General features: G+C 50.3%; 1 protein-coding gene across 4 annotated transcripts in view, besides 1 other annotated feature; it reads left to right on the top strand.

Annotated features, from left to right (window-relative positions):
- The window catches only part of MCM3AP (minichromosome maintenance complex component 3 associated protein), a 51,133-nt gene that overhangs the window by 20,665 nt on the left and 17,066 nt on the right, over window positions 1-13,402 (top strand). For all 4 annotated transcript variants that reach the window (XM_005261205.5, XM_005261204.6, XM_005261203.5 and 1 more), the window contains 8 exons: window positions 78-280; window positions 1,384-1,484; window positions 4,190-4,321; window positions 4,695-4,808; window positions 6,510-6,662; window positions 8,615-8,812; window positions 10,757-10,825; window positions 11,075-11,209. In XM_005261205.5, the coding sequence (XP_005261262.1) occupies window positions 78-280; window positions 1,384-1,484; window positions 4,190-4,321; window positions 4,695-4,808; window positions 6,510-6,662; window positions 8,615-8,812; window positions 10,757-10,825; window positions 11,075-11,209 (1,105 nt within the window). The remainder of the gene's footprint in view (window positions 1-77; window positions 281-1,383; window positions 1,485-4,189; window positions 4,322-4,694; window positions 4,809-6,509; window positions 6,663-8,614; window positions 8,813-10,756; window positions 10,826-11,074; window positions 11,210-13,402) is intronic.
- Window positions 11,175-11,284: an enhancer, noted in NCBI's record as "active region_18599". NCBI's record gives its function as "activates an Ori minimal core promoter by ATAC-STARR-seq in GM12878 lymphoblastoid cells {active_cell/tissue: GM12878}" and the evidence as "EXISTENCE:reporter gene assay evidence [ECO:0000049][PMID:35858748]".

Raw genomic sequence — 13,402 nt, 5'->3', positions numbered from 1 at the left:
CTGCACAGACCTCGGTCCCCGTGGTGCCAGGCACCCTGTGTCTGCAGCTATGTTTTGTCCTGTATGTTTCCTTCCAGGCGGAGGGAGAGGAGAGGAGTGTGGTGTAGAGCCGGATGCACCCCTGTCCAGTCTCCCACAGTCTCTACCAGCCCCTGCGCCCTCACCAGTGCCTCTGCCTCCTGTCCTGGCACTGACCCCGTCTGTGGCGCCCAGCCTCTTCCAGCTGTCTGTGCAGCCTGAACCACCGCCTCCAGAGCCCGTGCCCATGTACTCTGACGAGGTAGGGACTCTTTTTTTCTAGGTCTGGACTCTGGGAAGCCCATTGTGCGCAAACGTCCTTAGTCATCACCCCATGAGGTGGGGCTGTGGCGCCTGGTCTCTCAGGAGAGTCCAGAGAGGGGTCCTGCCTAGAGTCACTCAGCCTCAGGTAGGGCCCACCTATTCAGGCTCATTCTGGAGTCCGTCTTCATCTCAGGAGCTTCCTGTCACAGCACCGGCCTGAGCCCGTGTGTCTGAACTCAACACCCGTCTATTCCTGACGGGATCATTGGCAGCATTGTGCGCCCCCTGATGGGTGTGACCTGGGGTGGCGTGTCCGCCTGGTGGGTGTGGCCTGGGTGGGTGTGTCCCCTTGGGTGTGGCCTGGAGTGGGCATGTCCCCCTGATGGGACCCCAATATGCATGGACTGAGTGTGGGTGTGTCCCCTGAAGGGCATGTCCTGGGGTTGGGTGTCCCCACTGATGGGTGTGACCTGGGATGGGCGTGTCCCCTGGCGGGTGTGCCCCCTGATGGGCATGGCTGGGGTGGCTGTGCCCCCTGATAGGCGTGGCCTCGGGGTGGTCGTGTCCCCTCTGGTGTGTGTGGTCTCTGGCTGTGCACCCTGATGGGCATGGCCTGGGGGTGGGTGAGCCCCTTGACCAGCCTGGCCTGGGGGTGGATGTGCCCCTTGATGGTTGTGGCCTCAGGGTGGGCATGGTCCCGACAGGTGCCTTGATATTGAGTAGAGCCTGTCGACTCCATGGTTGTGAGACTGGATTGTGCCACTCTGGCTGCTTCGGGGCAGGCACTGGGCACCAGCCCATCTGGGGATCAGGGAGTGCTTAGGGGGAGCATAGAGTGGTCACAGAAACAGAGGCTGCTTGACGTAGACTGGAGATGGCTAGGCCAGGGCGCTGTGTGGCCATCCGCAGGGCGCCTTCCTCTCCAGATGGCACCTTTCCATTCGCTAGGGGACACCTTTCCTGCAACAGCCTAGCCGACCCCGTGTCAGGGGTTGTGCTTCTGTCACGAGACGCCTGCAGACTGTCCGGTGACAACATGTTACCCAGCATTTCTGCCCTGGGTGGGACGTTCCATTACACCCCATGCTGGTCTCTCCACAGGACCTGGCGCAGGTGGTGGACGAGCTCATCCAGGAGGCCCTGCAGAGGGACTGTGAGGAAGTTGGCTCTGCGGGTGCTGCCTACGCAGCTGCCGCCCTGGGGTGAGTGGCATCTCGTGCTCCCCTCCTGCTACGTGCTGCGGGGAGCTGCACCCAGTCCTCCAGAAGTTTCCTCTCATAAAGTTGCCTGCGTTTTTGGAGTCATAATCCAATAAGTTATTGCCAGATACAGTGTCAGGAAGATTTTCCCCTACATTCTTCTTTTTCAAGATGGTTTTGCTATTTGGGGTCTCCTGAGATACCATGCGAATTTTAGGATGAGTTTTTCTGTTTCTGCAGAAAGTGCTGTTGGGATTTTGATAGGGATTGCGTTGAATCTGTAGATTGTTCTGGGTGGTACTGTCATCTTTTTTTTTTTTTTTTTTTTTTTTTTTTTTTGAGATGGAGTCTTGCTCTGTTGCTCAGGCTGGAGTGCAGTGGCTCCATCTCAGCCTCACTGTAACCTCCACCTCCTGGGTTCAAGCAATTCTTCTGCCTCAGCTTCCCGAGTAGCTGAGATTACAGGTGGGCACCAGCCTGGCTAATTTTTTTATTTTTTGTGGAGATGCTTTTCGCCATGTTGTCCAGGGATGGTCTCGAACTCCTGGCCTCAAGTGATCCACCTGCCTCAGCCTCCTAAAGTACTGGGATTACAGGCATGAGCCACTGCACCTGGCCAGTATTGTCATCTTAACAATATTAAATCTTCTAATCTGAGAATGTGGGATGTCTTTCCATTTATTTAGGTCATTCTTAATTTCTTTCGACAATGCTTTGTAGTTTTCAACGTATAAAGTTTTTGCCTCCTAGGTTAAATTGTTTTTTTGTTTGTTTGTTTTGTTTTGTTTTTGAGACGGAGTCTCGCTCTGTCGCCCAGGCTGGAGTGCAGTGGCACAATCTTGGCTCACTGCAACCCCCACCTCCCGGATTCAAGCGATTCCCCTGCCTCAGCCTCCCGAGTAGCTGGGATTACAGGCACCTGTCACCAAGCCTGGCTAATTTTTTGTATTTTTAGTAGAGACAGGGTTTCACCATTATTAGCCAGGATGGTCTCGATCTCCTGACCTCGTGATCCGCCCGCCTTGGCCTCCTAAACTGCTGGGATTACAGGTGTGAGCCACCGCACCTGGCCTTGTTGAGGATTTTTATATCCATATTCATGAGGGATATTGGTCTGTAGTTTTCCATTTCTTTTTTTTTTTTTTTTTTTTTTTGAGACGGAGTCTCCCTGTCGCCCAGGCTGGAGTGCAGTGGCGTGATCTCGGCTCACTGCAGGCTCCGCCCCCCGGGGTTCACGCCATTCTCCTGCCTCAGCCTCCCGAGTAGCTGGGACTACAGGTGCCCGCTACCTCGCCCGGCTAATTTTTTGTATTTTTAGTAGAGACAGGGTTTCACTGTGTTAGCCAGGATGGTCTCAATCTCCTGACCTCCTGATCCACCCGCCTCGGCCTCCCAAAGTGCTGGGATTACAGGCGTGAGCCACCGCGCCCGGCCTCCTTTTTATTTCTTTATTCCTTTTTTTTTTCTTTTTTGAGACAGGGTCTTACTTTGTCACCTAGACCCGAGTGCAGAAGCACAATCACAGCTAACCACAGCCTTGATCTTCTAGGCTCAAGCCATCCTCTCACCTCAGCCTCCCAAGTAGCTAGGACCACAGGCGCATGCTACCATACCCGGCTAATTTTTTAATTTTTTGTAGAGATGGGGTCTCTCTATGTTGCCCAGGTTAGTCTTGAACTCCTGGGCTCAAGCAGTGCTCCCACCTCAGCCTCCTGAAATGCTGGGATGACAGGCATGAGCCACTGTGCCTGCTCAGTCTGTAGTTTTCCTATAGTGTCTTTGGTCTGTCTTTGGTATTAGAGCAATGCTAGCCTCATAAAATGAGTTAGTAAATATTCCCTCCTCTTCAGTTTTTTGAAAGGATTTGAAAAAGATTGGTGGTTAGTTTTTCGTTAGTGTTTAATAGAATTTACCAGTGAAACCTTCTGGTCTCATACCTTTCTTTGTTTGGAAGTCTCCTTACTAGTTATAGGTCTACTCACATTTTTCTGTTTCTTCATGAGTCAGTTTTGGTAGATGGTGTGTTTCTAACAGTGGGCTTAATTTTTCTGCTGGCAGCCAAACAAGTACAGGTTGCATATCCCTTCTTCAAAACGCTTGGAACCACAAGGGTTTTAGATGACAGATATTTTTGGATTTTGGAATATTTGTATTATATGTACCAGTTGAGTATCTCTTACCTAAAAATCTGAAAATCTGAATTCTAAAATGCTCCAATGAGCATTTCCTTTGAAAAGCATGACATGTTGTGCTCAAAAAGTTTGAGATTTTGGAGCATTTTGGATTTCAGATTTTTGGATTAGGGACACTCAACCTGTGTGTTTTTTTTCCCTTGTCAATGACTTGGCTTTTTTCTGATATTTTTCTTTCTTTTTTTTTTTTTTTTTGAGACAGAGTCTCGCTGTGTCGCCCAGGCTGGAGTACAGTGACGCAATCTTGGCTCACTGCAGTCTCCCGCTCCCAGGTCCGAGCAATTCTTCTGCCTCAGCCTCCTGAGTAGCTGGGGCTACAGGCGTGTGCTGCCGCGCCTGGCTAATTTTTGTATTTTTAGTAGAGATGGGGTTTCACTGTGTTGGCCAGAATGGTCTTGATCTTCTGACCTTGTGATCCGCCCACCTCAGCCTCCCAAAGTGCTGGGATTACAGGCGTGAGCCACCGCACCCGGCCTTGACTCTGATTTTGAATGCTATCCCCTTTGCTCCGTTTAGTGTTTCTAATGCTGCTATGGAGGATTTGTTAACAGCTGCAACCACGGGCATTTTGAGGCACATTGCAGCTGAAGAAGTGTCTAAGGAAAGAGAGCGAAGGGAGCAGGAGAGGCAGCGGGCTGAAGAGGAAAGGTAAGTGTGTCTTGTCCATGCAGCCGAATAAGGAGCTCAGTGTGGACACAGGCAAGAACTGACCCTAGCCACGATGCTCCTGCTATTGTCCACTGTGCTACCATTCCACCCCTGCTGACCCACTCATGCCCTCCTATGCTTCAGCCCAGGGGGTGGATGGAGCTCCTCAGGCCACACCTACCCGTGAGCAGTGGCCCTTCCCAGCCAGGAAAGGCAGGGGAAGGGAGGTGGTGTCAGGGGAGCTGGAGTAGGGGTGGCCTACCGACTCAGGCAGCACACCTCAATCCCTGTCTGCGTGGCCAGGGAGTAAAACAAACAGCACTTATTTTTATTCTTAAACATTACCCTTGTGTATTTTTTCTCTTCCCTGTAGGTTGAAACAAGAGAGAGAGCTGGTGTTAAGTGAGCTGAGCCAGGGCCTGGCCGTGGAGCTGATGGAACGCGTGATGATGGAGTTTGTGAGGGAAACCTGCTCCCAGGAGTTGAAGTAAGTGAAACGCTGGTGTCTTGCTGTGCCAGGAGAGTGAGCTTTGGCTCTGCCCTAGGCTGTGTCTTGCACCACTGAGGATGGGCTATTGGAAATGGATCTTGCCTGTCTAAGCTACTTTGATTTTGTGACCAAATGTATTTGATGCAGTCCTCTGTGCTCCCTTGGCTAATAGAATTTTATTATAAAAAATTCTCTTTTATATGAGGGCTGCCACCACATGATCATAGTCAGCCATCCTTATTAGCCACTGGCATTTATCATATATTTGAGACACTTCCAATTGATTGCACAAGTCAGATGTTGCTGATGAGAAGATTTTGTGGTTGTCTGCATGGTAATTTACAAATTCTACGCCAGGCACCTGTAGTCCCAGCAACTCAAGAGACTGAGGTGCAAAGATCACTTAAGCTCAGAAGTTCCAGGTAGTGTGCTATGACTGCACCTGTGGTGGCCACTGTACTCCAGCCTGGGCAACATAGTGAGACCCTGTCTCTAAAATAATTAAAAATTCTGACTATTTTATTAAGATAAAGGTTTATTTCTTAACTGTTACGAGGGCCCCTATGGACCTATAATTTGGCACCCTGTTCCACTTAATTCTTTTTACCCTGTCTTTCTAGGTGTCTGTAGTTTAAGTATTAAAGCTTCTTTTACAATGAAGATAGAATTACATTTTAATACTGAGGATGCAGACTCTTGCACTTTTTTTTTTTAAAGACGGAGTCTTGCTCTGTCGCCCACACTGGAGTGCAGTGGCGTGATCTGGGTTCACTGCAACCTCTGCCTCCTGGGTTCAAGCGATTCTCCTAGCTCAGCCTCCCAAGTAGCTGGAATTACAGGCATGCACCGCCATGCCCAGCTAATTTTTTTTTTTTTTTTTTTTTTGAAATGGAGTTTTACTCTGTTACCCAAGCTGGAGTGCAGTGGTGCCATCTCGGCTCACTGCAAGCTCCGCCTCCCGGGTTCACGCCATTCTCAGCCTCCTGAGTAGCTGGGACTACAGGAGCCTGCCAATATGCCTGGCTAATTTTTCATATTTTTAGTAGAGACGGGGTTTCACCGTGTTAGCCAGGATAGTCTCGATCTCCTGACCTCGTGATCCGCCTGCCCTGGCCTCCCAAAGTGCTGGGATTACAGGCATGAGCCACCGTGCCTGGCCGCCAGCTAATTTTTTGTATTTTTAGTAGAGACGGGGTTCTACCATGATGGCCAAGCTGGTTTCGAACTCCTGACCTGAAGTGATTTGCCTGCTTTGGCCTCGCAAAGAGCTAGGATTACAGGTGTAAGCCACTGTGCCTGGCCGACTCTTGCACTTTTCTTTTTTTTTTTTTTTTGAGACGGAGTCTCGCTCTGTCGTCCAGGCTGGAGTGCAGTGGCGCGATCTCTGCTCACTGCAAGCTCTGCCTCCCGGCTTCACGTCATTCTCCTGCTTCAGCCTCCCGAGTAGCTGGGACTACAGGCGCCCGCCACCACACCAGGCTAATTTTTTTGTATTTTTAGTAGAGACAGGGTTTCACCATGTTAGCCAGGATGGTCTGGATCTCTTGACCTCATGATCCACCCGCTTCGGCCTTCCAAAGTGCTGGGATTACAGGCGTGAGCCACCGCGCCTGACTGACTCTTGCACTTTTCAAGCAAGCCCTCAGTGTCTGTGGGCCCCAAGTGCAGTGTCTTCCATGCTGATTGCCCTGTTTCTAGGAATGCAGTAGAGACAGACCAGAGGGTCCGTGTGGCCCGTTGCTGTGAGGATGTCTGTGCCCACTTAGTGGACTTGTTTCTCGTGGAGGAAATCTTCCAGACTGCAAAGGAGACCCTCCAGGAGCTTCAGTGCTTCTGCAAGTATCTACAGCGGTGAGTCCTGTGTTCCTACAGGCAAAATCCACACACACGGGGAAGAGTCTTTTAACAAATTCAAAATATATGAGCTATTAGTTTCTGTATTCAGTGGTAAAAGGATGAGGGAAAATGTTATAGCAATGAATACCTAAAATAGACTAATTGGATTATACTGCATTTCAGAAATACTTGATTACACACACACACACACACACATACAATATAAGGGGAAAAGTCAGGAGTTAGATTGGGACGTGGTGGCTACTCTGTATGTCAACTGATATTTATAGGGTGCCTGCCATTTGCCCACTGCACTAGGTGCTGGGAGACAGCTATGAACAAGCCAGATTATGGCTGCATGCACCAATAAGGGTGAATTCTCAAAATATAAGTAGTGGAGAAAAAGCAATTAATAGGGAATATACAAATAGTGTATATTCAAACTAAATAGGTTGTTTCAGATTTATATATAGTGGTATAACCCTAAAGAAAAGAAGGAAAATAATGATCATAATCTCAGCATAGTGGTTACTTTTGGGAATGGGAGGTGGTGCCTCTCATGGCCACAACTTCTCAACTGGGTGTAAGTGCACAGGTGCTTGATGATTTATTAATCTTATAACTGGGCATATATGTGTTACGTATGTTGTATGATTCATTTCATAATAAAATTTAAAATCAGTAATAGTGTCCTTGGTAGTTGGAACAGTATAAAAGGGAGTATGGGGAGAAGTGAGTCTTCCTTCTACAACAGACCCCTGTCCATTGTGCGAGCAGCAGCTGCTTGCGAAACCATCCAGAGACTTTCTGTCCTTTCTTGTGGCTCTTGGCACAGATGGGCTCATGATCCCTGCTTTGCTCTGAGCCTTCCTTTGCTCCATCTGATATGAGGTGGAGGCTTGGCTGTAGCAGCATGCTGAGCTGTCCCCGTTGCCAGTGGTCTTGAGGTCAGTGCGATAATGTACCATAAATGACCTTCCTGGTCTTCTGTTGATGGACTTTCATGTGGCTCTTTTTTTTTTTTTTTTTGAGATGGAGTCTCACTCTGTCGCCCAGGCTGGAGTGCAGTGGCGCAATCACAGCTCACTGCAACCTCCACCTCCCAGGTTCAAGTGATTCTTCTGCCTCAGCCTCCTGAGTAGCTGGGACTACAGGCGTGCGCCACCATGCTCGGCTAATTTTGTTTTTTTTATTTTTAGTAGAGATGGGGTTTCACCATATTGGCCAGGCTGCTCTCGAACTCCTGACCTCGTGATCCGCCCGCCTCGGCCTCCCAAAGTGCTGGGATTACAGGCGTGAGCCACCGAGCCTGGACGTAGCTCTTTTTAGCTCTGGTAAAGACTGTTGCAGTGACTGTTGTTGTACAGACAGACATCTCACCCGTTTGCACACAGGCACGTGTGTGGAGATAAATTCCTATCAGTGGTGGCTGTGGGTCAAGGGATATATGTATCTTTTTTTTTTTTTTTTTTTTTTTTTGAGACGGAGCCTTGCTGGTACACACAGCCTGGAGTGCAGTGGTGTGATCTCGGCTCACTGCAACCTCCACCTCCTGGGTTCAAGGGATTCTCCTGCCTCAGCCTCCCAAGTAGCTGGGACCACAGTCGCCCACCACCATGCCCGGCTAATTTTTTGTATTTTAGTAGAGATTGGGTTTCACTGTGTTGCGCAGGCTGGTCTTGAACTCTTGAGCTCAGGCAGTCCGCCCGCCTTGGCCTCCCAAAGTGCTGGGATTACAGGCGTGAGCCACTGCACCCAGCTGGGTATATGTATCTTAAATCTGTATCCATATTGCCAAGTCAGCCTCCAAAGCTCATTCAGTATTAACTGTTAACGTTCGGTAGTTTCATTGCTCACCACACTCATTTGATGTCCTTCCTTCCCCATGCCTGAGTTCTGACTGCAATGTGTTTCTCAGTTTGAAGACCCTGAAAACACTCTGTGATGATACATTTTCATGTCCCCAGGTGGAGGGAAGCTGTCACAGCCCGCAAGAAACTGAGGCGCCAAATGCGGGCTTTCCCTGCTGCGCCCTGCTGCGTGGACGTGAGCGACCGGCTGAGGGCGCTGGCGCCCAGCGCAGAGTGCCCCATTGCTGAAGAGAACCTGGCCAGGGGCCTCCTGGACCTGGGCCATGCAGGGAGATTGGGCATCTCCTGCACCAGGTCAGCATCAGCTGTCGCCTGCCTCGTCAGGGCTCCCCTGCCCCCACTTGGTTTTACCAGGAGCGGAATTAATGTGTGTGTTTGGAGGGTGAAGATAGGTGAAGCCTGGAGGCGAAGATAGGTGAAGCCTGGAGGCGAGGACAGGCACAGGGTTGCATTTTGAAGGTTGTCTCCCACAGTTGTGGACATGTGACTTGTTCCACTGGCAAAGCAGAGCTCTGAGTTCACCTTGAAAGACTCAGCGTCCTGGTGCCTGAGTCTGACTCTGCATCACGTGTTCTTTTCCTGCTCGTCCCAGTTTAAGTACCTGCCACTTCCATCCTTGTTGGAGGAGCCGGAGGTCCACGCTGGCCTGTGTCTTCCGATCCCATCCCCGCCCCATCCCTCTGTTCCTCCCGCCGTCTCCTTCACACACTGCCCCCTTTCTGTGGCAGCATCTTCCAGACTCCACCTCCACCCTCCATTATTTCCCTCTTGAGGCCCCTTGGTGTGGCCCTGGTCCTCCCTGCCACTCCTCCTGGTTACCCCGAGCAGAACCGGCTCCTCAGGGCCATGCCAGGACCCCCCTCAGCCTGCATTCCTGGCCATGCTGGGCTTGGCCTTTATTTAGAACCCATGTAGGTGCCACCTCTTGCCTGGCCTCAGGGCTCCCTGGCCTCCCAGTGGGTGGGGACTGGGGAGGCAGCCTGGAGGGCCTAGCAGGCACACCGCTGGGGCCTCATGTCATGTCTTGTCCTCCTCCTGGTCATCACTGGATGTTCCCTCTGAAAACTGTCTTGTGGGTTTCATTTAGCCCCATCAGGTTCTGCGCCGGCAGTGGGGTGGCAGTCCCAGCCTGTTGGAGGCATGCTGTGAGGCCAGGGCTGGGCCTGGCTCCTCTGACCCATGGCTGCCTTCACATAGTGACCTGGCCTTCTCCTGGAGTCATGGCTTCTTGTGTCCCCCCTCCGTAGCTGCCCTTGTCAGCCTCAGTCTCCTTGTCTGAGCCCTCCACCCTGCCCCCTCAGCCCAGACCTCTGCCCTCTGCCCTTCTGCGCACCCCCTGGTGATAGCCCTGTCACCCCTGTCTGTCACTGACAGCCCCCATCATGCATCTCCAACTGAGGCCTCTTCCCTGAGTTCCAGACTTGGTTTCCAGTTGGCAGTTCAACCTCTAAACCTGATTTTTCCCCACCCTGCCCCTTCCTGCTCATAGGATGCCGTCCTGTCCTCCTGCGCTTAGGGCACAAACCTGGGCTTGCATCTCTCTCAGACCCAGCACCGAGGGCATGGCAGTTCTCTCCACCTCACTGGAATGTTGCTGCAGCACCTGTCTGCCAGCTTCCACCCTGGGCCCCAATCGTGTCCTCAGCACCACAACAGAGGGATCCTCCAACAGCTCAGCCAGGTGGCGTTGCCTCTCGGCGGCGTCCCTAGCGCTCCCCGAGTCTCTGCATTGTGGACCCAACCCCTCCCTCGCTGCCCTCACTGCTCTCCCCAAACACACCAGGTCCAGCTATGGCCTGGCATAGCCATGCCCTCTGCTGTTTCCAGAAGTTGTCACGCTGGCTCCCCCTGTTTCCTTCAGGTCTTTGCTCACATATCACCTGACCACCCTGAGTGAGACTGCAACACGCACCCTGCCTGGCTCCAGCCCCACCTGGCAGCATTTGCCCACAGTGCCGACACCTCACACATGCCAGGCCAGCCACTTAGAGATGCTGTTCTCTCCCCATTAGAGCCTATGTTCTCAAAGGGCAGGATTTTGTCTGTTTATTGCTGAATCTCCCATAGCCAGCACACAGTGGATACTTAACATGATATTTGTGGAATGAAGGAATCCTCTAACCCGTTTCATTGGCAGAAAATGTGTTTTTCAGTCTCCTGAGTATTCCCCAGGGGACACTAGCCAGTACTTCTCACTAAGCTCCTGCGGGGACACTGTCATTCTGCTTTCCTTTGCAGGTTAAGGCGGCTCAGAAACAAGACAGCTCACCAGATGAAGGTTCAGCACTTCTACCAGCAGCTGCTGAGGTCTGTCATGCTGCACCCTTCTGCGCACCCCCTGGTGATCCCCGTTCCCCAATCTGTCACACTGGCAGCCCCCTTCATGCATCTCCAACTGAGGTCTCTTCGATGAGCTCCAGACTTGGTTTCTAGTTTGCAGTTCAATCTCTGAACCTGATTTTCCTCCAACCTGCCCCTTCCTGCTCATAGGATGTGTGTGCTGCTCCTGCAAGGGTCTCACACACTGGCTAATCCACGGTGGTCTGTTCCTCCCAGTGATGTGGCATGGGCGTCTCTGGACCTGCCATCCCTCGTGGCTGAGCACCTCCCTGGGAGGCAGGAGCATGTGTTTTGGAAGCTGGTGCTGGTGTTGCCGGATGTAGAGGAGCAGTCCCCAGAGAGTTGTGGCAGGTCAGGAAGGGTTTTCCCCTGTGGGGTTTCCAAGAGGTGGAGTGGGCAGGGCAGGGTTGTGGGCCAGGGCCGGGTATTCCTCTTATGTGTGATGGGAACTCGGAAGTGTAGGTTTATGTTTTAATGCTTGGATTTACAGTCTGTTTTGCTCATGATTTTAAGTTGAAACTTTAGATTTGATTATTTCAATTTTTATTCCATAAACTTGGTGTATTAGTCCGTTCTCACACTGCTTTAAAGAAATATCTGAGACTGGGTACTTTATAAAGAGGTTTAATTGGCTCGGCTGTACAGGAAGCATGGCTGGGGAGGCCTCAGGAAACCCACAATCATGGTGGAAGGCTAAGGGGAGGGAGGCATGTCTTACATGGCCAAAGCAGGAGGAAGAGAGAGAGAAGGGGGAGATGCCACATGCTTAACCAGATCTCGTGAGAGCTCACTATCATGAGAACAGCAAAGTGGGAGGTGCCACACACTTCTAAACAACCAGATCTCGTGACAGCTCACTGTAATGAGAACAGCAAGGGGGAGGTGCTGCACACTTAACCAGGTCTCGCGAGGCTCACTTTCATGAGAACAGCAAGGGGGAGTTTCCACACACTTAACCAGATCTCCTGAGAGCTCACTATCATGAGAACAGCGAGGGTGAGTTGCCACACACTTAACCAGATCTTGTTGAGAGCTCACTATCATGAGAACAGTGAGGGGGAGTTGTCACACAACCACATCTCGTGAGAGCTCACTATCATGACAACAGCGAAGGGGAGTTGTCACACACTTAACCAGATCTCGTGAGAGCTCACTATCATGAGAACAGTGAGGGGGAGTTGTCACACACTTAACCAGATCTCGTGAGAGCTCACTATCATGAGAACAGCCAGGGGGATTCCACCCCCATGATACAATCACTTCCCACCAGGCCCCTCCTCCAACATTGGGGATTACAGTTCAACATGAGATTTGGGTAGGGACACAAATCCAAACCATATTACTTGGCAACAGTCTTAGACCAAAAGCATTTAAGAGTTGATTGTTATTTCAAGCTGTGTTAAGGTACATTGATAGACCTGCTTCATTTTAGACTCTTCAGTAAGATAGTTTATAGTCTGTTTACTATAGTTCCATTTTTTTCCCCTTAAAGAAACTTTTGGCATTTTAAAAAAGAAAAAATTGACATGATCTTATTTTCTGTAACCACATAGCATACAGAAGTCATATTTTTAAAGCAACTACAGTCTCTGTGTTTTTTTGAGACAGGGTCTTGCTTTGTTGTCACCCAGGCTAGAGGGCAGTGGTGTGATAACAGCTCACCGCAGCCTTGACCTCCTGGGCTCAACTGATCTTCTCACCTCAGCCTCCTGAGTAGCTGGAACTACAGGCGTGTGCCACCATGCCTGGTTAATGTTTTTTTTTTAAAGATGGGGTTTCACTATGTTGCCCAAGCTGGTCTTGAACTCCTGGGCTCAAGCAATCTGCATGCTTCAGTCTACCAAAGTTTTGGGATTACAGGCGTGAGCCACCACACCCGGCTTACAGTTTATTTTTAAAATAGCTTTATTGAAATGTTATTCACATACCATAAACTTCACCCATTTAAAGTGTACATTTCAGTGATTTTTAGATATATTCACAGGGTTTTGCAACCATCACTGTTAATAATTCCAGAACACCTTTTCACTTAGAAAGCCTGTATTCTTTTTTTTTTTTTTAGATGGAGTCTCACTCTGTCGCCCAGGCTGGCGTGTGGTACACTTTGTTCACTGCAACCTCCACCTCTCAGGTTCAAGCAATTTTCCTGCCTCAGCCTCCCAAGTAGCTGGGATTACAGGCGCACACCACCACGCCCAGCTTAGTTTTGTATATATTTTGTAGAGACAGGGTTTTGTGATGTTGCCCAGGCTGGTCTCAAACTGGGCTCAAGCGATCCACCTGCCTTGGCCTCCCAAGGTGCTGGGATTACAGGCGTGAGCCACTACGCCCAGCTGGTGAGTCATTTCTTAAAATAGCTGTCTTCTCATTTGCTAAGTTCGTATGTCACTTAAGAATTCTTAAGGTCTCAGGTATGAGAAATTTGATCTGTAAAAAACATGTATTTCAAACTCTAGGGATGTTTTCTATTGCTGAAAATCTTAATGCTTCAGAATTTTAAGTCACATTAGAATGAGCCAGTTCCATTCTAATGGAATGGAGTGC

The sequence above is a fragment of the Homo sapiens genome, chromosome 21 (assembly GCF_000001405.40).
Source record: "Homo sapiens chromosome 21, GRCh38.p14 Primary Assembly".
NCBI lineage: Eukaryota > Metazoa > Chordata > Mammalia > Primates > Hominidae > Homo > Homo sapiens.
Note: the sequence above shows the minus strand (reverse complement) of the source record. Positions and strands in the feature narration are given on the sequence as shown.